Here is a 23,499-nt window from a genome sequence, read left to right as displayed (position 1 = left end):
TGGTAGTTTAACATCGCAGTAAGATCAAAAACCACCTTAACTGAGTATGAAAAATATTTGATGATACAGTAGTCTTCAAACTAAGTTTAAAAGATGCAAATAGTACATATATGCCAGTACATATGCCAGTGTCTTGAATACTGGGAAAAAGGAGGATTCGAGTGGGGGAAAGTTCACGACATTGTCTCTCTGCCTCTAATCTTTCCTGCTCAAGTCCTTGCAAGTAGAATCAAAATATCAATTGTTCTGAAATTAATTCTGCTTTTATTATTTCACTCCCTTGTTCAGAGAAACTTGGTAAGTTTTCACTTCTAAATGGAACAAAGGTCCCACTCCTAACGTATCATTCAAGTTCCTTCACAGTCCAGTCTCAACCTTTCTTTCCTTTCTTTTCCTAACTATCATTGTTCATAATACAGTAATATACCCTCCCAGGAGTATTCAATCTTTTGGCTTCCCTGGGCCACATTGGAAGAATTGTCTTGGGCCCCATATAAAATACACCAATATGATAGCTGATGAGCAAAAACAAAACAAAAAGTCTCATGATGTTTTAAGATAGTTTATGAATTTGTGTTGGGCCACATTCAAAGCCATCCTGGGCCATGTAGCCCACAAGCCACGGGTTGGACAAGCTTACAGGTCTAAACTCTGATAATTTCACTACACCTTGGATATTCATACTTCTGGTGAGCAGAGGCTGCTTACACTTTTTATAGGCCAATATCAATCATAACGTTTAAGTGTTTAATAAGTATCAATATTTATCTCATATGGCTCTCAGAACAGTGAATTAATTCACTTAGCAAATATATATTGAACCATTACCACTATCTGGCCCTATTCTAGTTGTTGGCCAAACAGCAGTGAATCAACATGTCTCTCCTCTGAAAGAATTTAATTTTTTGTGGGGAGGATAGTACAAAATATATGAAATACATAAACACATTCAAAATGTGTGTCGTGATGGTTAGTTCTATGAAAAAAATTAGTGCAGAGTAAAGAAATAGTAATACGAGTGTGATTTTAGATTAAAAAGTCAGAATAGGTATCCCTGTCTGTTAAACTGACATTTAAATCTTAACAAAATGAGTGAATTATGCATTTTTCCAAAGGAAGAGTGTTTCAAGAAAAAGAAATAGCAAGTGCAAAGCTCCTTAGGAGGAGGCACATTGTGTTTAAGGAACAGGAAGAAGTTGAGTATTGTGGGAACTGAGTAAGCAAGAAAGAGAATAGAAAAGGAGGCCATAAAGAGAGGAGAGGGCTTTTGAAAACCATGGAAAAGAGTTTGGATTTTATCCCAAATGGAGAGGGAAACTAGTAAAGGGTTTTGAGCAGAGAAATGGCATACATTTTCAAAGGATCACTCTGGGTGCTCTGTGAAGAATAGAGTAGGAGCAAGAGTAGAAGCAGGGAAAATGGTTATGACGCCACTGCAATAGCCTTGGAAGGAGACAGTAGTGACTTGGACCCGGGTGATGGCAGTGGAGATGGCGAGAAGTGATCAGATTCTGGCAATGTTTTGAAACCAGAGCTAATTGTGTTTGATGACGGATTTTTACATAGAGTGAGAGAAAAAGAGATGAGTCAAAGATAATTCAAGGGTTTTTGGCCTGAACAAATTGGAAATGTGTGTTTTTATTTATTGAGCTTGAGGAGTTCAAGGGAGGAGTAGGTTTAGTGGTGGGGTGGTTCTGTTTGAGCATTTTGAGTTTGATAGTCCTGTTTGTGGAAAATGCTTGGAGTGCTGCCCCATTTCCCTCCACCCACTATAGAGTTCACCTGAGGCTATGGCAGACTCAGTCAGTTTCCCATCTCAGGCACCTGGGGGCTTTCTGCAGTACAAAGGAGCCTGCTGAGACCGTTTACAGAATTTTTTAACATTCCCAGTGGCAACACTCCAACATTGAGGGTCCAGAGTTGGTGCTCATATACCCCAGGTTCCACATTCTCCAGTGGGACAGTCCTGAGGCATGTGTATATATGGTCCCACAAAAGGTCCCTGGGGAGATTGGGCCCCATCTGCCCCTGCTTATTAATACACACTGTATTAACTTTTCTTCCTTTGCTATCCCACTTCTCCATCACCTAACTTTGATTTCCTAGAATCGCCTTCCTGCCTCTTCTCCAAATAAACTACGCACTCCAATATTTTGCAGTCTCCCTGGAAGGAATTAAACCTAAGACTATTAAATACCCATATGTCAATCTCCAAGAAGGAGATTGATATACTATTCTGAAAACCAGGCAAAATGTCAGGGATGGAGATACAGTTGGGAGGCGTTAGTCTTTTTCACAAGCCTATTCAAAAGCCCATTGCACAAGCACTAGATATGTGTAGATTCCTACACAGACTTGTTACCGTCCTTGTCTGCCTCATGTCATCTCTTCCACATGAATACAATGATACTCATCAATGAATGCTCTGAACTTTCAGCAAAGGCCACAGTAGAATTTCTAGATAGTAGTAGATTGAGAAGTGATGACAATTTGATTGGAAGCTAAGGGATCTTGGGGACTTGTCTTGAATTTGCATTTACATAGAAAGCACATCGTTTTTATGTTTGACACATATTTATTTGTGGTGGGTTTGGAAAACCTTGTAGCGGTTATGGAGGGGCACCCCAACCCATCCTTTGGTGTTGCCATTGCTTTTTAATTATGATTTGTGCTAAGCCACACATTCTCATTTTACCTAGCTCAGGGTTCTAAGCATGTTTTTCATGATGGTTTGGTTAGGAAAGTGAGTAGCAATGAATGAGCTCCTCAATAAATACATAGCACAGACACTGACAGGCAAAGTGAAGTTTGTAATCACTTCCCAATCAATTGTTCAACTGAATGTGAGAAGAAATCATTTTCTCTCCTGTTTTGAGTCAGAATATCACATAAAGCACAACTCTTCCTGCATACATTGTATCATATTCCACAGTAATTTACTTTTTTGCAAGAAGTATCCAAAATTTGGTTTTTCCTGCTGAGCAGTTATCCAGATAATTGCAAATCAGTGGAATCATTTACATGAATAAAGATTTTTATTCTAATTAACGTGCTAAATCAAGCACACCAAATGTCTCTAATTCTTATATTACTCAAATGGCAATATTTTTGTCAGTGACTATCATATGAAATTTCAGGTGCCTAATGCATTTTCAAATGGCACTCATAAGCATACTAACGTTTTATAAATAAATGTCTCCATATTTTTAAGATGAATGGACAATTTTTGATTTTTAATGTAGTCCCCAATTTTCAATTTTTCAATTTTCATTTACCGAATGGAGAAACAGCATTCATCAGAGCAAAAGAGCAAGTTTCACAAGTCATGGGAACAAACATAGATGCTAATTTCCTATTTTAGGAAGTTCTTTTTAAAGTATTATCATTAAGAAGCACAACTCTGTGGAATATTTATGTGCACATTTAATAATAGAGAATTCGGATGTCAAGTCTGTGTGTTACTCATACCCATACATGCATCCTCAAAAAGCCTTGGAAGTTAATCCTCAGCTGATGAAAGCTAAGCAATTGCTCTGGAAGGATACTTGAAGTTTTTGGCTCTTGGGGTGAAGGTACAGTCACGAAAACCTCTCTTCACAAGAGGGCGCTGTGCAAACAGCTAGCTCCTCGTGAAGGAAAATTGCCTTGCAGACTGGCACGAAGTGGATTTCTTTACATCTATTAAGTGCTCTGCTCTTCATAAAGGAAAATTTCCTTGCAAACTGGCACGAAGTGGATTTCTTTACATCTACTAAGAGCTCTGCTTCTTTCTCTCTCTCTTGCTTTTTCCTTGCCATGCCTCTTCTTAGGCTCTGTAAGGCAGACTTCTTGTCTTCTCTAGTTATGCTTCTGCAAACTGCATCATGCTGATTCTATTAATGATTTGATTTTAAATAATACCATCATAGGTGTTAAATGATGTGTATGCCTATCTGGCTTCTCAGGACTTCTCTCTCACTACTTTACATCTCACCAATGTGTAAAATATCTATGAGACATCTTTAATTTAATATGATTCAAAAGTCTTTACTCTTGACCTTTGTTTGAAGTCTAATCAACTAAAAACCTAAAATTCCTGGTGGGAAAAAAAGAAACTTGACTACTCTAGTTTTTTAATAACATGTATTTCATTTATTCTGATTATAAAAGTCATCTTTATTTATTGTAGAAAATATAAACATTATGGAAAATAAAATTTAAAAACATCTATCATTCTATTACCCAGAAATAACTTGATCAACATTTTGGTGCATATTTTAATGAATAGATTTTTAAATGAGAAATGCTTTTCAGGAGTAATTAGATTCTACTTAGTATTGACAATTTTATAATATGCTTTTAAACAAAGTATTAACATTAACTTTTTTGGAAAATGCCACTTTCTGCTACTTATAGCTGTATTGGCTATTTTCTCAGAACTTCTGCTGTAATGAGTTTATACTAGAGTTGCAAATACACGTTCTTTGAATGTACTTGAGGAGTCGATAGTCTGAATCTGAGATTTTCCACAGCTCTTGGAGCACCTGAGAACACACTAGCTTCTTCCACGATTCTGCAGTACTTGCTCCTTCCTGATAGGATGCCTTTGTAAGCGTACAACTCCAAACATGGGCTGAGTGTTCAGTAATCATTTGTGTTGAGTTCTTCAGTTTCATGGAGACTAAAATTAGGTTTTCTCTGTCACTCTTGTAATGTCATCTGACCTTGACCTGCATTTCAAATTGCTGAGAAGTTAGCAAGCTGACTTTTACACTAGGCACATCAGAAATAATTGATTAAAAATAGAGTTATTGAAGTTGAATTTTTTTCATTTATAGAAAAGTACAATGTCTTGTTCATGACAAACAAGGCCTAACATTTATATAATGTTCATTTAAAATATATCAAAAGAAAACAAAATAATAAAACCCACAGAAAACCCAAAAACAACTCACCTATTAAAACATCTCTTGATTTATAAATATTATAGTTTAGTTTGTACAATATCAGTAACTGTGGAAAGCTCCCAATTATCTCATTCCCAAGTGCTTGACTGACTCATAACTTACCAACAATTTTCTTATTTCAGAGAATCCCAAAAACATATTACCTAGGACTAACCTGGAATAAAACTTCATGGTTGATAGCTTTTATCAATTAAATGGGTATTGATTTGGATAACTCATAATCTTGAGCATATCTTTAGATTTACTTTTTATCCTGAATTTATTTTTGTTAGTAAGATTTAGAAATTCAGATTTATTTTGTGCTTTATATGACATAGAAAAAAACAAATTGTCTTTCCTGTACAAAGTCCACCCTTCAAAATAGACTCCAGAAGAAAACATAGAGACTTATAACTTAGGTTAAACATAGGCACAATCCTAAATAGTATTCAGATGAGTCTTACCTGAATAATTGCTCACCTAATATGATAATCACCTGTTAAGAAGCAGTTTCTTAAATGTCACTGTTGGAATCTAAACAGTAGATACACAGGTGTTCACTGTAAACTTGTTTCAATTTTTCTGTATTTTTGAAAATGTTCATAATACCATCTTGGGGGGAAAAAGCCTCTTTTTGACATGGCAAGAACCATATTCTACTGAAACAGATCTTATATGCTCTATCAAGTTTATATTTTAGACATCCCTAATTCAGCTCATTCTGGACTATTCCAGGACTGATTGCCCTACTAAGGCATGCTTATTTTTTTCTTTATGTGTATAAGAAGGATTCAAAGGGACCGTTTGTCAGTTTTAATGTGTGAGCACTACTGATATGTTTTATTGAGAAAAAGCTTACTGCCACAGATCACAGAGATATTTTTCCGAGGTAAGATTCTTGCTGGTTTGCAAGTTTTGTAAGGAGGCACCAGGACCCATCTCTGTACCCCCAGCCACGGAGCCCTTATTTAGACCCACACTGGGCTGAAATAGAAACTTCTGTACAAATGTATCTCTCCTGTGCTCTTTCCACTTTAACAGAATAGAAAGAATTGACTGGTTGAGCCCAAATATTTCCCCCAGGCCAGTGTTACAAACTGGCGTTTCACCAAAAATAACTCATTTGATATGTTTTTAATGTTGATGATCTGAAAAATCATCTTCTTGTTTTTGTTTGTTTGTTTGTTTTTAGAGATAGGGTCTTACTCTGTCAGCCAGGCTGGAGTGCTGGAGTTCAGTGGCACACTCACAACTCACTGCAGCCTCGATTCCCAGGTTCAGGTGATTCTCCCACCTCGGCCTCCCAAGTAGCTAGGACCCCAGGCATGCACCACCATGCCTGGCTAACTTTTCTCTTTTTTGTAGAGATGGGATCTAGCCATGTTTCCCAGGCTGGTCTCCAACTCCTGGGCTCAAGAGATCTGTCCGCCTTGGCCTCCCAAAGTGCTGGGATTACAGGCATGAGCTTCATACCTGGCTACCTTCTTCTTAATTATATACATTTTTTCTTAAATAAGAGCTCATGTTATTTTTTATTTCTATAAATATTTTATATTCCTTCTCTTCTTATTGCCCTGATACTTTAAATAAACCTAAGCCCAGTCAAATTTTGTATTACCCTTGAGTTTCAGTTTTTGGTTCATTCAGCCCTAAGTTCTCTTTGGGCATGAATTGTTTTCACCATTGACTACTAGCAGGCAGCTGGCATAGCCTGGGACATGTGAGGTGATGCTAAACATGCATTTGTGAGTAGAAGGAAGGAAGAAAGGAGGGAAGGAAGGAAGGAAGGTAGGTAGGAAGGAAGGAAGGAAGGTAGGTGGGTGGGCAAGAGAGAGGGAGGAAGAAAAAAAGGAAGGGAGGCTGGTTGGTTTGATTAGCTGTTGAACAAAATTCCATATAGAAAGTAGCTTACTAGTCTATATCTTTTAGCTCTGTTTATTTCAAAGCTTTGTGTGTTTTTGTTAGGGTCACTTATAGAATATTTAGAAAAATACTTGCTGCCTCATGCATTTCACCATCCAGTGCCTGGTGAGACCTAAAAGCCCATAGTTATAATTTTGTTTCTTTGACCAAAGTTTGTTTTATTTTCAAATATAAATTCAATCCCTTAAGACTCACCTATAGCATATATATCAAACAAAAACACGTCAAATTTAACTCAGAATTTTGCTGGATAAATGATTTTACTGGATATCATCTGACCAATGAAATAACAATTGTGTGTTCTCAAATTTACTTCTACATTTTTAAGGTAGTAAGTTTAATTAAAAATCTCTAATATAAAAATGGCTTATTCTCTAAAATTTAGAGGTAAGCTAAAGTTTTCATCAAGGCCCCATTATTTAGCACTTTCCAAACTTGGGAAGGTCACTTAACTCCACTGAACCAGTAGAAATAAAATTAGTGGTAACACTGAAAGCAAAAACCAGAACCAGTCCAATTGTCTTATTAATAATAGCCTAATTGTGTAAATGTCTGTTATAAATTTCTTAGCTGGTTCTGAGAGATAGCTAGTAAATGGCACCCTAAGTTTTATATATTCTGTTACAAAACAAAAACAAATAACAACAATAAGCTGTTTTCTTTTGCTGTTACTCAAACATCTGGATTTCTATTGTAGCCCCTAGCACATTGTTACCTTTGGTTGGATGGACTGAAAAGTGTTGTGATTTTTCTCCTATGTAGAATATTCAGAGGGAAAGTGCAGGGCAGTGCACAATGCATACAAACATTGACAGGATCACTTTTCCTCAAGCTGAACTATACTCTAGGCCTCCTCTCTCTCTAGTTACCACAGTTGAACCCACTCAGCCCCTACTTGCAGCCTCAGTCCCACCCCAGGCTCACAGGCCAATTTTGTCCTGGAATTAGGAATTGAAAGATCTCAGGTAAGCCAGCCACAATGGAGACAAGATTTAGAGATAAGCAAAACTGACTTGGACTCACATGTCTGTCATATATTACCTCTGTGGTGTTAGCCAAGTTCCTTAACCTCTATGAGTCTCAGATTTCTCATCTATAAAGTGGTGATAATAATGTCTGCTCGTGAGTTGGAAGATTAAGTAACATGTAGATCTTATACCTGACACCAATTGTTTTTCCTGTGAAAGTTCAAAACTTCTCTTATGATTTAATTCTTCAAGGAAGGTGACCTGACCTTTTTCATTCCTGTATTTACTTATATTCCAGGCATGTATTGGTTAAGATATACATTTTGCAATTAAGAGGGACCTCAATTTTAACCTCAGATCTGCTACTCATTGGCTGTATGATCATAGGGGCAAGTTACTTCAACTTCGTAAGTCTTCGTTTCCTCAGTGGTGATACAGAATAAAAATAACACAAAGCACACAGATAAATTATTATGAGGATAATATATAGTATACCCTAAAATTCTGTGCAGAGTCTTCAGAACACTTTCATGTTAGTTACCCTATTCAGTCCTCTCAAAAGCTCTTTGCAATGGCTCTCTCTCAAATGAGAACCAAATGGATAAGACATTATAACTCAGCAAGGTCAATAAACACCACAGAATAAACACCAAATAAGTGGTTGATATCATCATAGTAAAATGAGGAATTAGAAAAGTTAACCCGACATTATGGTGATGTTTGGTTCACAAACTCATTCAGTGCACAGGAAGTGTCCAAGTAAGGAAGGGGTCTGAGGATGACAGGTACTCAGGAATGGGAAAGTTTATGACTGTTGGCTCCAACAAATGGATAACCAGATTTAGCAAGATATTGAACAGTCACGGAAAAAATCCACAGCACCAAAATTTAGCACATGAGATTTTTATTTAGGGATTCTTGGTATTGGGGGTCTTTTTTCTTTCTCCCAAGGGAGTGATTTTGTTTCTCAGCCTAGCAATTTCATCACTGCTTTTGCTTATTTGTAAGCATAATTCTAAAAAGTTGTAAGAAGCCATTTCTGTCCTTATTTGGTACGTGGCCAACAATAAGGGTAGCATGAGTTGGAGTCAGTGTTGCAACTGGTTTCCCAATTAAACAACCTGTCTCTAGGATCCCATAAGTTTTCAAAAAATAAGTAGAAACATTTCTATATTTAGGAGAAGCTTAGGGTTTTGAGCAATCGAGAAATTCTATCACCTAATTTTTGTAAAATTTCTTGCCACCTAATTTTTTTTAGATCTTGTAAACAAAGTTCTTAGAGGGTTTTAATGCTGCAAATAAAACATTAACATTTCTTCATATGATTAACCTTCAAGATATAACAGCTAATATTTTATTCTTACACACATGGGATATAAAGATTTCAAATAGAGAAAAGTGTTATCTATCAAAACTGAGGACTGATATTCTTTTTGAAACTGATAAAGTGGTATGCCTATTTACCATGCTCATGAAGTAACCAATTGGCAATTTTTAGAACTTAAAGATGTTTCTAACAGTATAAAAATAGTTTTCCTACCTCTCCCAAAAGCTTACAAACATCAGTAGTGTGTGCCTAAAATTTTGTCCAGTTTTCAGAATGTTTTTATATAAATTGCCTTATTCAGCCCTCTCCAAAACTCTTTGCAATGGCTCTCAAATGAGAACCAAATGGGTAAGACACTGAAACTCAGCAAGGTCAGGCAACAATCTTCAAGGTCACATGGCAAGTTCATGGCATAACTGTGACTCTAATCTCTAATCCCCTATACAGTGCTGCCCTGAAAACTTGCCCAATGGTATTTTGATTAAAAAAATTAATTAATCAATCAAATAGGAAAAAGAAACTAAATAAGCCCTACCTAAATTACCTGTTCTGAAATTTCTGCCCCTATTTAGGCACATATAAGAATATAATGTAAATGCTCCATCTTATTTTTAAGATGCCCTGAAAATATTGGTTTGTCCATTTATTAAACAAACATAATTGTGGTTTTTATGTCTCTAGACTGTTTGCTAAGCACTGAGTACCCAGAGGGAAAGCAGATGTTATCCATGTTCTCATAGTGTTTAGGTCTATCAGGGGAGCCAGATACCAAATAAGTCATTACTAATGTGATGACATTGACAAAGAGGAAGTACAAAGTGCAGTGGAGACCTCACCTGGTATGGGGAGGCAGGGAAGACTTCCGGAGGAAGTGAATTTCAAGATGTAATCCTATATCCACCACTCCTTCACTCACCAGTCAATAGCTAAGTAGGATTTTTATTTAAGACTGTATTCATGAGTAGAATATTAAATAGAAAGAATTTTTATGACTTTTAAAATCTTCATATACAGAGAATTGAACAAGACAATCAGTGACACCAGAAGACTTTTACACACTTGTTAGAAAATTGTGTCAAATTATTTATTTCAAATGATTAGTCTACATTGATTTCAAGATTTTTAAAGAATTTGAGTCTAGAAATATTTTTTGAATAGTTAGAAAAATCTCTTAGGAACTTGTCAGTCATTTAGTAGATATTCAATAAACATAAAATTTATTTTCTTTTCCTTCCATTTCTTCCTCCATGATTTCTTTCCTTCAATCCCATTTATCCAAGTAGGCTTTATCCAACAAAGCTTTAGAAGGAGCTTTGTTAGTTTAGTGAATAGAAAAGCTTGACTTAGTTGTTTTCCAAATTGCTAAAAAAAATCCTAAAATTAATGTAGATGGAAACCTTAAGTGTCTAGTAAAACATTTTGATTCACAATCATAGTCATATTGATTTTTTATCATTATATTTAAGCATGCCTCTTATTGATTGTTTTAGTCTATATCCTGATTTTAGCTCTTTAATTACAGTTTGTGTCTGTTTGTGTCCTGGGTCATATATGAGTAATGGATGCAATTGTAGAAGCTTAAAACACAGAGCATGCTTTCCCAGTGTTCTTAAGACCATGGGGTACCTTCAATTCTGTTAATGTTTTACTGTTGCCAAGTCTTAAAATAATTGTCTCCCATTTCAGAACATGGAATAATTGACCTTTCAATCAAGTAGACTCATATAAGGTTTAGAATGAATATTTGAAAGCAATTCAAAGAAAATTTTGGTATTATTTTGCAACACTTCCATTTTGAGAAATAACTTATAGTTGATTTTGATAAGTAATGTAATAAAAATCATTTTTTACATTTACTTGTACTGAATGGATATTAGTTTTAAGGAGTACACAAGCCCCGTTATCAAACTGCCTTTTGTCACACTCTTTTGCAATGTATCATTCTGAAGATAGAATTACAACGACACCCTCATCAGAAGTAGATGGTAAATAACAGTCTGTTATTTGCTTCCACATTAACTTCTGCTGGCTTTGAGTCTGTAACCAGAGACTATTTCAAAATACAGCACTATCCTGAAACCCACTATCTGCCTGCTCTGGTTTCCTGAAGCAATGTCTTTCAACCTAACGCAACCCCACTGATGTAACTGCTTATTTCTCTGAAGTTCAGCTCAACCCTCGTCTCTTCCGTATGCCTGTTAACTAGAGACTTGATGCGCAAGTAATTGAATGCCTATGTGGATTACGTTTAACTTATCCCACTCTCAAATTTGGGAGTTTCATTTTTATTCATAGTAGCTATCTCCTATAAAGGAAATTCTGAGTTTCTGTGTCAGACACCGAAACCCAAATTTGCCATTTGTAACATCTGGAATCTTGGAACCAAAATCCCAGAAATATTCAAGAGGCAAAAACGATGCCTTATTTAGAGCTCTGCAGAACATAAGAGCTAAGTTATTGGCAGGAGACGGGCACTTTGCTGATACTTTAGTGGGGTTAGGACTTACATGGATAACAATTGGATTGGAGCAATGTTTAGATTTCCGAATCTGGTTTTCCCTAGGACATATAAAATTAGTGTGCACAACTTGTAAACATAATAATTTGTCTCAGGGATGGAACATCTCTCCTTGCTATTGAATCATGCTTTTACTAAAATTCATCTGGAAAAATAAACGCTTAATAAATGACAGTAATTAGAATGTTCAAAAGATGTCTTCTTTGTTCTTTTATACTCTTTGATACCCATGAAGTAAAAATTATAAACAGCTTGTTGTATTATAAATGCTAGTAAAGATTCATCCTAGAAAATCATTTTATTTAATTTCTTATTTTTTCCAAATGTCTAAATTCTCATGTCTGTGAAATATTAGCCAGTTCTTCAAAAACAATATTGATATTTCTATTTGAAATCAAGGCTTAATTTTGCTCATGATTAATCTCAGAAATAAGTAGCTTATTTCTATGACCTTACTGAGACCTGGTAACCTAAGAAGGATTATGTGTAACTGTGTGGAAGAAATGAAAAGGAGGCGGTAAGTAATTATTTAAGAAAAAATAATATTAATATTGACAGACACTTCTTGTGTCTGTAACTGATTTCACACTAGGAAAATGAAGCAGAGTTTCAATTTTCTTGTTCATAATTTCACATTTACAGTTCCATTGTTTTATCTTGCTTAACTGTTCTAGATGACTGCCTTTACAAAGCAGGGGGAAAAGAAGGAAGAAATGTTTTTGACAGTAATGAAAAAGACAAGATTAGTTCTCCTTCCTTGCACATTTTTAGAAAAAGTTGGACATTCCCTAGCAGATTCATTCTAGATTATTCGTATGTCCTTGTAGCTTATCAATTAGATATCCATTAAATTTGAATATCCCTTTAAAAAGGTAAATTTGTAAGCAAAGGCAGTTAATTATTTGTGAAAATGTATACTGCTGGCTTTAGCCTGAATACAAAGATAGGGTTTATCTTGCTATCAGTAAAATTGGGATAACAATGAAAATATTTTTCTGCTTCCAAAGTCGTATACATAAACTGTAGCTTTTATTAGAAATCAGTGATGCTGTTTCACCTACAAAAATTTAAACACCACTGGACAAAATGAGAGCTTTGTGTTGCCTGGAGGGTGAAAAAAGTCCATCTTTGCCAGCAACATCCCTTCTACTCTTCTGCTTGTCTTTGTGGCCTCCCTCCCCCTCCCTTTCACACCAAGCCACCTCACCCCACCAGCTGTTAGGGACTCCTCCCCTCTTTACGCAGATCACCAGTTATCTTACACTGTCTGGCTTTAGTCTCAGATGAAGACATTCTAATAAGCACCAAGTTGTTCAGCTCAGTGCTAACTCTGCCAGGAATGTGTGCATTTCCTAAGAGCTGCCGAAAATGGAAATTAAATAGTTTGAAAGAATTAAATGATAATGGTGGCATTTCATACACCAGAAGGGCAGATTGGCATCAGTGTAAGCACCTTTTCAGTCCTTCTTTGAGAACACCAGGAAAGTGGCTACCTGTTTTGCTCATGCGAAATTTGGATCTCTATACAAAAGCAAAAAGACAGTTTGTGAAGCGTTACAATATTGCAAGTTGATTCAGGGAGAATGTGTTGTGTTTATTTTTGAACTCTCTGCTCCTCCAAGGTTGCTGCTGTTCAGGGCAGTTCTCACTCACCCACTTTCTTTGAGCTCATGTCTGATAAGAAAGAGGTGAAACTGTAAAAACCTTTTCTATTACTCGTCTCCAAAGCTGATATGAAACCTGTAGCATTCTTAAGAACCCCTGGTGTCCTGGATGCTGTTGTGAAAACAAGCATAATGTTTAATGTCTTGAGCTTTTATTGAAATTATATGAATATTCAAGACTCCCTTGGTGTACAAGAGACAGATTGAGCTTTAGAGGTCTCAAAATTTGCAGATATGGTGATGTTCACTGAGCTCAACTCTTGGTCAATTTTGTCCAGTTCAGAGAGGGTTAAATTCACTCTTGGGCACTTGAAGCCTCTCTAATCTTATCCTGAAGAAGTGGCGCTCTCCCTTGGTTTACAGTTGAGGTCACCCGCGGGGCAGTGTTTGGATACAGACTGATGAAATTATGCTGCATTGTTAACATTGAATACCACTCAGTGGTGAGGACCGATGACGGCACTAGGGTCCTTTGACTCCTTGGGTACAATTTCTTGAAATAGATGCTTTCCCAAAATGTCCTGGACTCATAAAATATATGAAGGATTCTATTTGGCTTTCATCATTTATTTAATTTGAAAGAAAGTTGTTTTAACAGATTTATCAGAGTTAAGAAATGTTTCTAGGGAATAGAAAATGGACAAGATAATTGATCTTTGTTGTCAGAGTCATGCATTGTAATTCACTCTCTAAGGTGACGCAGCATCTCCTTGAGGGCAAAGCTGCCAAAAGTTCTGAAAGTGATCTGCCTGTTTTTTTTTCTCACACTGACTTTTAGAGAGGCGCTGGTATTTTCAAGACGAGTAAATCCTGTTTACATCCTGTGGAAGGTTGGCTAAGAATTATATCCATCTCTTTTTAAGAGAAGTTGAAATAAGGAAAATTATAGTTGGCAGTTAGCTGTGTGAAATTTAGTAATCTTTGTCAGATGACCCAGTCATAGGCATGTATTTTTTAAAATTTTTTAACGAAGCCCTGTGGGTTTACATTTTTTAAAGTTCACACTGATATAAAGGTTTACCCACTTCAATCACACCTTTTGTTGTGTGTGCATGCGTGTGTGTGTGTTGTGCTTTTCAGGAGTGGCATGTGACTATGCTGTTTAATCAGGGCTATATTTAAAAACAAATTTTCGAGGGAGTGTTTCTCACGTTAATTATGAGATAAGGCCTGAGTGAAGCAAACTCTGTCGCAAAGGCCAAGTGTCATGCAGCAGGAAGTCCTGGCCATCCCTTCCAGCCCTGCCTCAGCCAGCCTGCCATCTCTCTGTCAGCGCATACCACTGCACAAAGGAAATGCCCTCACTCAGCTACAAGTGCCTCCTGCTCCGTGCGGGGCCTCAGGGCCCCAGAGCCCCGCACCAGCTCTGACTTCTCGTGGTTCCTGGGGATCTTGGCATCGTCCTTAAAAATGGCTTTTGTTTGGGATCCTCTGGGAGCCACGGTGCCAGGACCATCTACAAGAGCCAAATCAAGATTGCGTTTCTCAAAGTCCTACAGGTATTACTCTTTTCCTTTTGTAGCTAGGAAGAATTGTTTAACTGCCTTAGGCCCCTTGCAAATAAGCCTTTGCCCTATGTTGACCTTCTAACTCCTAATGCTTGTTAAATTGACAATATATTAAATAAGAGCCAAGAAGATGATGTAAACCTTGAAATAGGGGTATGTAGGTACGTGCAGAAGTTGAAGGAAGTTGACTAACTTTAAAAGCTAATTCTGAGAGTTAAATGGCAAACTTAACAAAGCATTCATATTACTGCCACCTGAAAAACAGTGTATTAACTTGTCTAATGGCTTAATACAGTCAACTCTAAATGTTAGGGAAGGGTTCTTGTTTGACCAACAAAAAAAACACTACATTATTCTTCATAAGTGTTTCAGGGCACATGCACATGAAAAAATGGAAACTAATGCTGTTTCAGGTAGTAATTCAGTGTTCATCTTGCCCAGCAGAATTACATGTCATGAATTCAAACTAAATATTTTAATAATCTTTTGTTTCTGGAAGTCATATTAAAAATCTTGACCTCATGACTTCACTAAACTGTCAATGACTGTTTTACAACAAAATCAGCTTATTTTAACCAAATAACTGGAAAGAAAGAAAACACTTAAAAAATATTGGATTTCCTTCTTCATTTGAGTATTCTAGGTGTTAATAAAGAGAAGATTGATTATTCTTTATTATTGTTTAGAAAGAAAACCTTTTCTGTTTTTGATTGATTACAATCTATAGCACTGAAAGGTATCTATTTAATCAATAGTAAATAGAAGTGACATTGTTTGCAAAATTTTGGATATAAGGTCTTTCTTATTTAGACCAAATGCAGCACATCTGGAAGCTGCCAAGCCTATGTAGAAATATATATTAACACTGAATTAAAATGTGTTCTGATTTGCCTGCATATAAAACATTCAAAGTTTGAATTAAAATAATTTATAAGGATTAATTATTTGCTTTAGACACTAAAGAAGATAATGTCCTTGGAATTTTTAGGGAACTATAAAATCAGAGAAATCAAATTTAAAAATTTTGTATAACAATGCATAAGCAAACTTTGGCAAGAGGTAAATATAATTTGCCAGCTAAAGGTATAGGTATTAACTCCATTTATTTTTATTTCAAAATAAAATAATGATTTATTTGTTATGTTTGTTACAGCTATAAAATTTAGTTGAAAATTTTAAATTATATGCTTCCTATGTGCTTTGCATTTTGTTAAATGTGATTCTCATGCTTATTGTATGCTAAATTGTACATTTAGAACTTAACATCAATGATTTGCTAACATTACTGTGCATATTTCCAACATATGGTGGCTTCTAGGCTCTCTTCATCACTAGATCTGATAACAAGCTCCTTAATATCATAAATCTCCAGCTGCTGAATAAAGTAAAAGCAATAGCTTGATTGACTAATGAATTTGAGAAATCTCACGAAATGCAGAGTTTAAGCTCTTCTGTGTAGTTTGCAAATATATTATAAACCTTGCCTTCTCAATTTGGCAAAGATATTTTTATTTTGAGGTGTTATGGTATTGTAACAATTTAAAGCTATATGATAAATATATTTTTTCAAGGTTCCTTTGGTCAAGTTCTGACCCTTTCCAAAATATAAGCATTAGCAGCTAAGAATGACTTTTTCATGTATTTGAATACCTCACATCTGTAATTTTAACAAGTTTCATTTGTAACAAGTTTAAGAGGTGAGAATGACATCTCAAATATCCATCATGAGTCAGTTTCCTTCGGAAGCTTGAGAGGCTCAGTCCTTCCTTTACTTCCTCTTAATTTGAATATACAATTTCCCACAGAATAATTAATTTTTTTATATGTGCTGCTTTCACTGTTTGGAGGTTCTAGTTTATCTTTCCAGTTGCACTGCAAACTCTTTGAGGTTAGAAGTTTCCTTACATACAGCAAAAATGCCAGTAATGCCTATTTGATAAAGTATTCTGTTACCCTTTCTTATTTGGCATCACCCGATAATGTTTTATTGGCATAGCCAACTTGATATGATCATATCTATCATAAGTTGAATTGAGTGGAAGGGTTAGGGAGGTAGGAAGGCAGTTGGCCACTGGCTCTTGCATTTCTGCAGGTCCCTCATGTATCCAAAGGAGATTACGCATTCAGCCACGACAATGTACTGACAATAATGAAAAAAGGTACATATCATATAACTTAAAATTTTTATCATACCATAATACCTCAAATGCACCATGAGTCACTCTATATATATACAGACACATATACACACCACACACAGGCACATGCACGCACAGTTAAATGCTATAATTATCTTCTGAAGAGCATAGTTTTATTGCATAGCATTCTTGGAATTAAAGGTGTTAAACTATTTGATGTAAACATGTAAAATATCTCATAATGTCACAGCCTTGTTTTTGCATTTCTTATTTTTTAAAAAATATACAAAATCCTTACGCGGTGAAAGTAACTTAAGCTTATCTTGACCTTTAAGAGGCTTTGGATCTGATTCCATTATTGAAGCAACTGAAAGAACTGGACATTGGACAACATTTCTTCATTGAATTTCTCCCTTATAATTTTTTTTATGAGCAATATTTTTTATCTTGTAAAATCTTCAAATGTGCCTATTGTAGTGTCATTTTTCTTTGGCTATTGAATGGATAATAATGCATGCTACTGGGGGTACACTTAGCTTTAACTGGAATATTTTTCCTTGGCATGGCTTTTGCTGCCTGGTAATATTCAGGCTAAAGGAAAGCCAGGTGTACAAGATATGAAATTCAATTAGTGTCTGATTTGTTAAAGTAATAGCAAATCATATACATTTAATGAGTGTTGACTCTTGAGAAATACAATCTGAAACAGTTTTACAATGCTCAAAATAGATGTGAAAGTTTTTCAGCTGTGACAATTTTTTATCTTATGTGGGTAAAATACATTTTTATAAGAAAAGATTAATATATAGCTTATTAAGTTTGATTGAGGCAGAAAGAAGGATTGAAAGAGAAAAGAAGAGGGAGAGGGAAGGAAAGGCAGGGGAGAGGAGGGGAGCAGGGCCGTGGAAGGAGGAGTGAGGAAGAGAAAAAGAGAGAAAGCAGAGGGTTACATAATAAGGAAGGTACTTTTTCTCTGTGAGCCCAGAAGAGATTGCCAACCATGTTTTCAGTAATGGGATCAGTGTTAGCATTAGGGCACCACTTACAAAGATGAGTACTAATTTTGAGGGCAAGGTGCTGATTTATCTGCCTAGGTTCTGGCACACATGTTTAAAGATTCACCTAATTACTTTAGAGCAACGCCCCTCCCAAGTATTATAGAGAAGAAAGAGGAGAATGATGTGCTCAAGAAAACAATGTGGAGAAGTTTATATTGGTTGTTTAAACATAGTACCTAAAAAAAAAAAAATGGGGAAAAACGATCTGGGAAGTAAAGAAAGAATCAAGGAGCAAAGATTTAGCAAGCCTGTGGACCCTGACAACTCCAATAAGAGAACACTAGGGAATTTTGTGATTTAAAATATATTATTGCTTAAAACTACAGTAGTGTTCAAGGAAACTTTAAATAGAAAATTACTCTTCTTGAGATGATTCTGTCTTCCAAAGAGAACAAATCACAAGGATGTTAAAAGGAACATTTTATGTGACAAGTTTGGGGTAGGTACTATGTAAATAGAAGAGAAAGTCACTCAAGGTACATTTGAATGTAGGGCAGAGATTATTCCATAGCATTCCACAGGCCAGAAACAGAAAGTGTCTTCTAGTTTTCTTGCCCTTTATAGTAATAGGGGTCATGGGATAGAAATTCTCAGAAAATCTCCAAATCTCATTTTTGCCAATTGTTTCAACATCTTTTCCTTCCCAGCATTTTAGCAGAGCTGCCAAACAGGTGATTAATTAAATACATATGTGCATGCTTGTACCTCGTGTAGAAGGTCTAATGAGTAAATTTATTTGATATGACATAGACTGAACAGTAGAAGGAAGGATTAATGACAGTCAGATCAACAAACAAAAGTACAAATGGTATCTGGGCTATGAAAAGATAAAGCAATATTTGCCCAAACAAGAAGATCTAGATATCCCTAAATTACCTCCTATATTATTAGGAAGTAAAGACCAAATCTACAACTTTGATCTGGAAATTGTATAGTAGCTGATATGAACAGGGATCATAGGAGAGTGTGGTCTCATAGCTACTCTTTGCTACTACCAAAACCTGAGTGGTAGCACATCAGTGATTGCCCAACCAAACTGCACAATTCCCATTAGAAAAAGCTGTCTCAAACCCACATCTTAGAAAGGAAGTGAATGCCACCAGTGAATCAATACACTGGGATGTAACTTTCTGCATACCCCAAGAATACCTCCTGTTGCATAGCACTTTTTAGTTTTCAAAGCTTTTCAGATGTAACAGATGTGACAGCTGTTGTTTTTAGTGTGCCACAGCTCATCTCACTTAATTCTTTAGGGTAAGTGAAAAAGATGAGTGTAATTAGTATCAAATAAGAGAAGAAGAATTGAAGGTTCAGGGACTAGAGACCACACATATATGTGGTTAGAAAGTCCAAAGTAAGAACAGTAGAGCTAGTTTGTATTGGACACTTACTATGCACCAGGAACCATTCCCAATCCCATACATGCATTAGCTCATGCATGTCATCCTCCAAAACAGCCTCGGGAGGTGGATCTAGCATTACCTTTATCTTACAAATGAGGAAACCAGGCAGAGCAAGTTTAAGAAACCTGCACAGGTGTGAATTCTGGAAGTCTGTGTTAGAACCAGGACTCCTGGTCCCTCTCCCACCTCCAGCTTCCTCACCAGATCCTATTATCAGCACACAAGGAAAAAAATTCCATAATGAGAGGTATTGTTCTAACAGATGTACTATCTTCCTCTACTTAACTCTGAATTTTTCTCTGAAGACAGAACACCACGTAATTTGTTATAGAATAGGGCTTAGTAATCAGTTAAAATATAAACTTGTTAAATAATATCTAAACTGTCCTCTAACCTAATTGATGTTGGTTTAAAGAAATGCTAAGCAAAAGCATCAAAATAGAGGTATTTTTATATTAAAAAGAAGAAAAAGGAAAATGAATCCGTTATTTTATATTGTCTGCTTCTGCCCCCTCCTGGCTTTTGCTTCATGGGCTTCCATCTGGCTCATTTCATCTGGCCAAAAACATTGGTCATGTGGTTGTATTTTACTGCCAAATATTACTCCTTGGCCAGCTGTTCAGAGGAGCCAGAAGATTCTCTGAGCTCGAGAGGTCAACTCCATCCTGTGTCATGTCTATTTATTCTACTGGCATAGTCTTGACTATTAAACTAGGTTTCTTAATGATATTTCAAATTGTGAGTAATGTTGGCTAAATTGACAAAAAGAAATTATAGACAACATTTATATCTAAGAATAACAATACTACTAACAACCATTGCACATTGTAGGAAGAGGTAGCATGGTATAGGAGGAGAACTTTGGCTCTAGAGCCAAACAGACCCAGCTTCAGTGCCAACTCTGCTGCTTTCTTGATTGGGCAGGTTTCCTAACCTCTCTGAGCCATTTCCATGTACATAAATAGAAAATTAAAATATCTACTTCATAAGGTCGTTGTGCAGATTAGATGAAAGCATGTACGTGAATGCAGGACTACCTGCCAACTCTTTCATAGCATTTTCCAAGTCTTCACTAACATTTCACAAATTTTGTGAAGCTTCTTTTGTGAAATACATTTTCAGATAAACTATCATCATTGGTACCACTCTTGGTCACAGAATAGTACAATAGAGCTGGCTTATAAATGGTTACCTTATAAGCAACTTGCACATACAACCCAGGCTCACCTTGGAAATGTAGTGTGCAGGAATGATTGACAGCTGGCTAGCTCTACAGCCACACTGCTGCTGAGGTTCACATTTTCACATTATCACTTATAGCTATGAGACTTTGGGCAAGTTACTTCATGTGCCTCAGTTTCCTCATTTGTAAAATGGAGTATTATGAGGATTAAGTGTGTTAGCCATGTAAAGTGCCTGGCACATAGACAACACTAAAATAAATGTCAGCTATTATTAATAATAGAATGTAAGCTCCACATGGCAGCAATTTTTGTCCTTTTTTCCACCTTTGTATGGCCAGTGCCTGGAAGAGTGTGTGGTACATATTAGGTGCTTGGCGTTTGTGTATTGAATGAATGAACCTATTAGCAAATGTGTTCCGATTCATGGCAAGTGTGAGGATACTCTGCTTCCTTTTGCCACATTCATGGGAAGAGGGGGTTAGAGCTGAAGGAACCTGATGGTTCATTTGTTCAAACTCATTTGTCTTACATTGAAGAGCTTGAAGACCTTGAAAGGCCCCAGGGTCATGCAACTTGATAGCGGCCTGGTCAGAGCTAGAACCCTGGCTCTGTGTGCTTCTGTGAAAATCTTTGTTCCAATGTCCCACCCCTCACTTCAATACATATGCCATCTAATTCAGTGCTTTCAGTAAGGCAGCAAAATGAATGAATGATTCAGAGCACACTTCTTGCAGACAGGAGAGTGTATAAGAGCCATAATTGGGCAATGACCATGGAAGGACAGGTTTCTGAATAAGAGAAAGACTTATCCAAGTAAAATTATGTTCAGACATTTTACTTACAAGTCTAAAAATCACTTGCTACAACAGCTACAATAGGGTTTTTGTAAGGAAGTACCACTTTGTAAACAACATTTTTGTAGAATGCATTATATGCATTTTTTTCAAAATTGAAGGAAAGCCCCATCTCAAACATTCAAAAGAATCTGCTCAATTATCAATGTAGACTAGAAACAGAGATAGAGAGGGGAGATACAGTTTGAGTGTTTTCTGTATTATCATGACAGCACATGGAACAACCACAGGCAGAAAGATTACAAACTCTGCAATAAATATAAAGGTATTGGTTTTATAAGGTGGCCTGCAGGCTACGGACCAGCACAGAGCTCTGGCAAATGTGGAATGCCAGGAGATGTACAAAAAAATCAAGGTGACAAAAGAAGAAAAGACACTCCAAACTGCCAAGGGTTTATAATCATGCTGTGGATATTTCTGATCATCAGTGTGTTAATGGTTTTCACTATAGTTAAAACTATACCATTTTTGAATGGGTAATAGGTATGAATATTTATGCTTAATTAGTAGTTTATAAAATTTATACTATTTATTTTCATAATGTTGATTTTATGATTTTCAACGAGTGCCATTTGTCCTTAAGTCATGAAGTGGATGAGCCCCCATCAAGTGATTTTAAGAGACAGTACCTTGACTGAGCAGCTGGATCAAAGCCTGTCTGATCTGGGCAGAGCAAATAAGGAATACTTCTTACAAAAGAGGAAGCATTCAATTCTATACACTTTACCTTGGTACTCCTTGTTCTGGAGGCCTCAGCTTCTATCATGTTCTTTGCCACAGTCATATACCCACCTTCTACCTTGGCTCTCCCTCCTCCTAACTTCCATTATTTTTTCTACTTTCAAACTATAATTGACAAGCCTTTTTAATTTCAACAAGGGTCTGAAGAGAGGTGTCTGATTTTCCGTAAGGCTGGGTTATATAAGCACACAGAGTTGAATCAGAGCAAAGGAAAAATCCATTGGCAAAGGAAGAATACTATATGCTACTTTAAAACTTGTCTGAATGTATTATTTTATTTACTTATTTTAGAGGCAGGGTCTCACTCTGTCATCTAGGCTGGAGTACAGTGGCATGATCATCACTCATTGCAGCCTCAAACTCCTAGGCTCAAGGGATCCTCCAGCCACAGCCTCCTGGGTAGCTAGGACTACAGGTGCACCCTACCATTCCTGGCTTAAAAAATATATATTTTAGAGTCTGTTTTGCCCGGGTTTGTCTCAAATACTTGGCCTCAAGTTATCCTCCCACCTCAGCCTCCTAAAGTGCTGGGATTACAGGCATGAGCCATGGCACATGGCTCAAATTATATAATTCATTAGCTGGTAATAGTGTAAATTTGGAAGAGAAAAACTAAAATGATAAAGAGGAAAGATGGATTGTGAATAGAGTAAATATATATTACTGTAATTATGTTAAGCCAATCAAATGCAAAGGACAGTTCAAAGGGGACAAGTATGTAAGCCACATTCCAAAAAAAAAAAAAAAGCTTTGAAGTGAAGCTTTAAAAAGATAAGCTTTGTGTTGAGCTAAAGAAATAAACTCTATAAAAACAAAACCCTAAAATTGTTATGACAATGAATTAAACATTCAAAAATGAACAGAACAGAATGTAAAAGATTATTCCTTCAGGTGGTAAATGTTCACAACCAGCTCTCTATGGGGGAGGGGAAGGGCACTATTTGTAGTATTTGCTGATTTCTGTGCCAAAAAATTCTCTCACCTGCCCATTTCAAACAGCAGAGGTCACTAAATGTGGAGTTGGCAAGAGATACATAGACATAGTACTCTATACAGTGTTTCTATCATATAGATACAGTAGATATAAGTTGCCCCAAAAACATAATAATACAAAATGTAGCCAAATCATTCAGAAGTTATGAGTTTTGAATACTTATTTCCATTGTTTTTAATATAATTTGTTTAATTATAGTTAAAAATTTTTATGTAATTTAATTTTTAATAACTGTTGGGTATTAACAACTGACTTATAAATACTCCTAAAAATGTAACAGAATGTAGTGAGGGA

The 23,499-nt window shown here is 36.2% G+C and overlaps 1 protein-coding gene across 28 annotated transcripts in view; it reads left to right on the top strand.

Annotated features, from left to right (window-relative positions):
- PDE4D (phosphodiesterase 4D) overlaps window positions 1-23,499 on the top strand; it is a 1,553,091-nt gene that overhangs the window by 1,150,547 nt on the left and 379,045 nt on the right. Inside the window, exon 1 of one of the 28 annotated variants that reach the window (NM_001197219.2) lies at window positions 14,612-14,824. The exons of 26 other annotated variants lie outside the window; for them this stretch is intronic. In NM_001197219.2, coding sequence (NP_001184148.1) covers window positions 14,736-14,824 — 89 coding nt within the window. In that variant the 5' untranslated portion in view covers window positions 14,612-14,735. Of the gene's footprint in view, window positions 1-14,611 lie in introns of those variants that run through there. One more of the 28 variants, XM_047417298.1, reaches the window with a different exon arrangement.

Source organism: Homo sapiens, chromosome 5, assembly GCF_000001405.40.
Source record: "Homo sapiens chromosome 5, GRCh38.p14 Primary Assembly".
NCBI classification, from domain to species: domain Eukaryota; kingdom Metazoa; phylum Chordata; class Mammalia; order Primates; family Hominidae; genus Homo; species Homo sapiens.
This window is presented reverse-complemented; position numbering and strand designations above follow the sequence as displayed.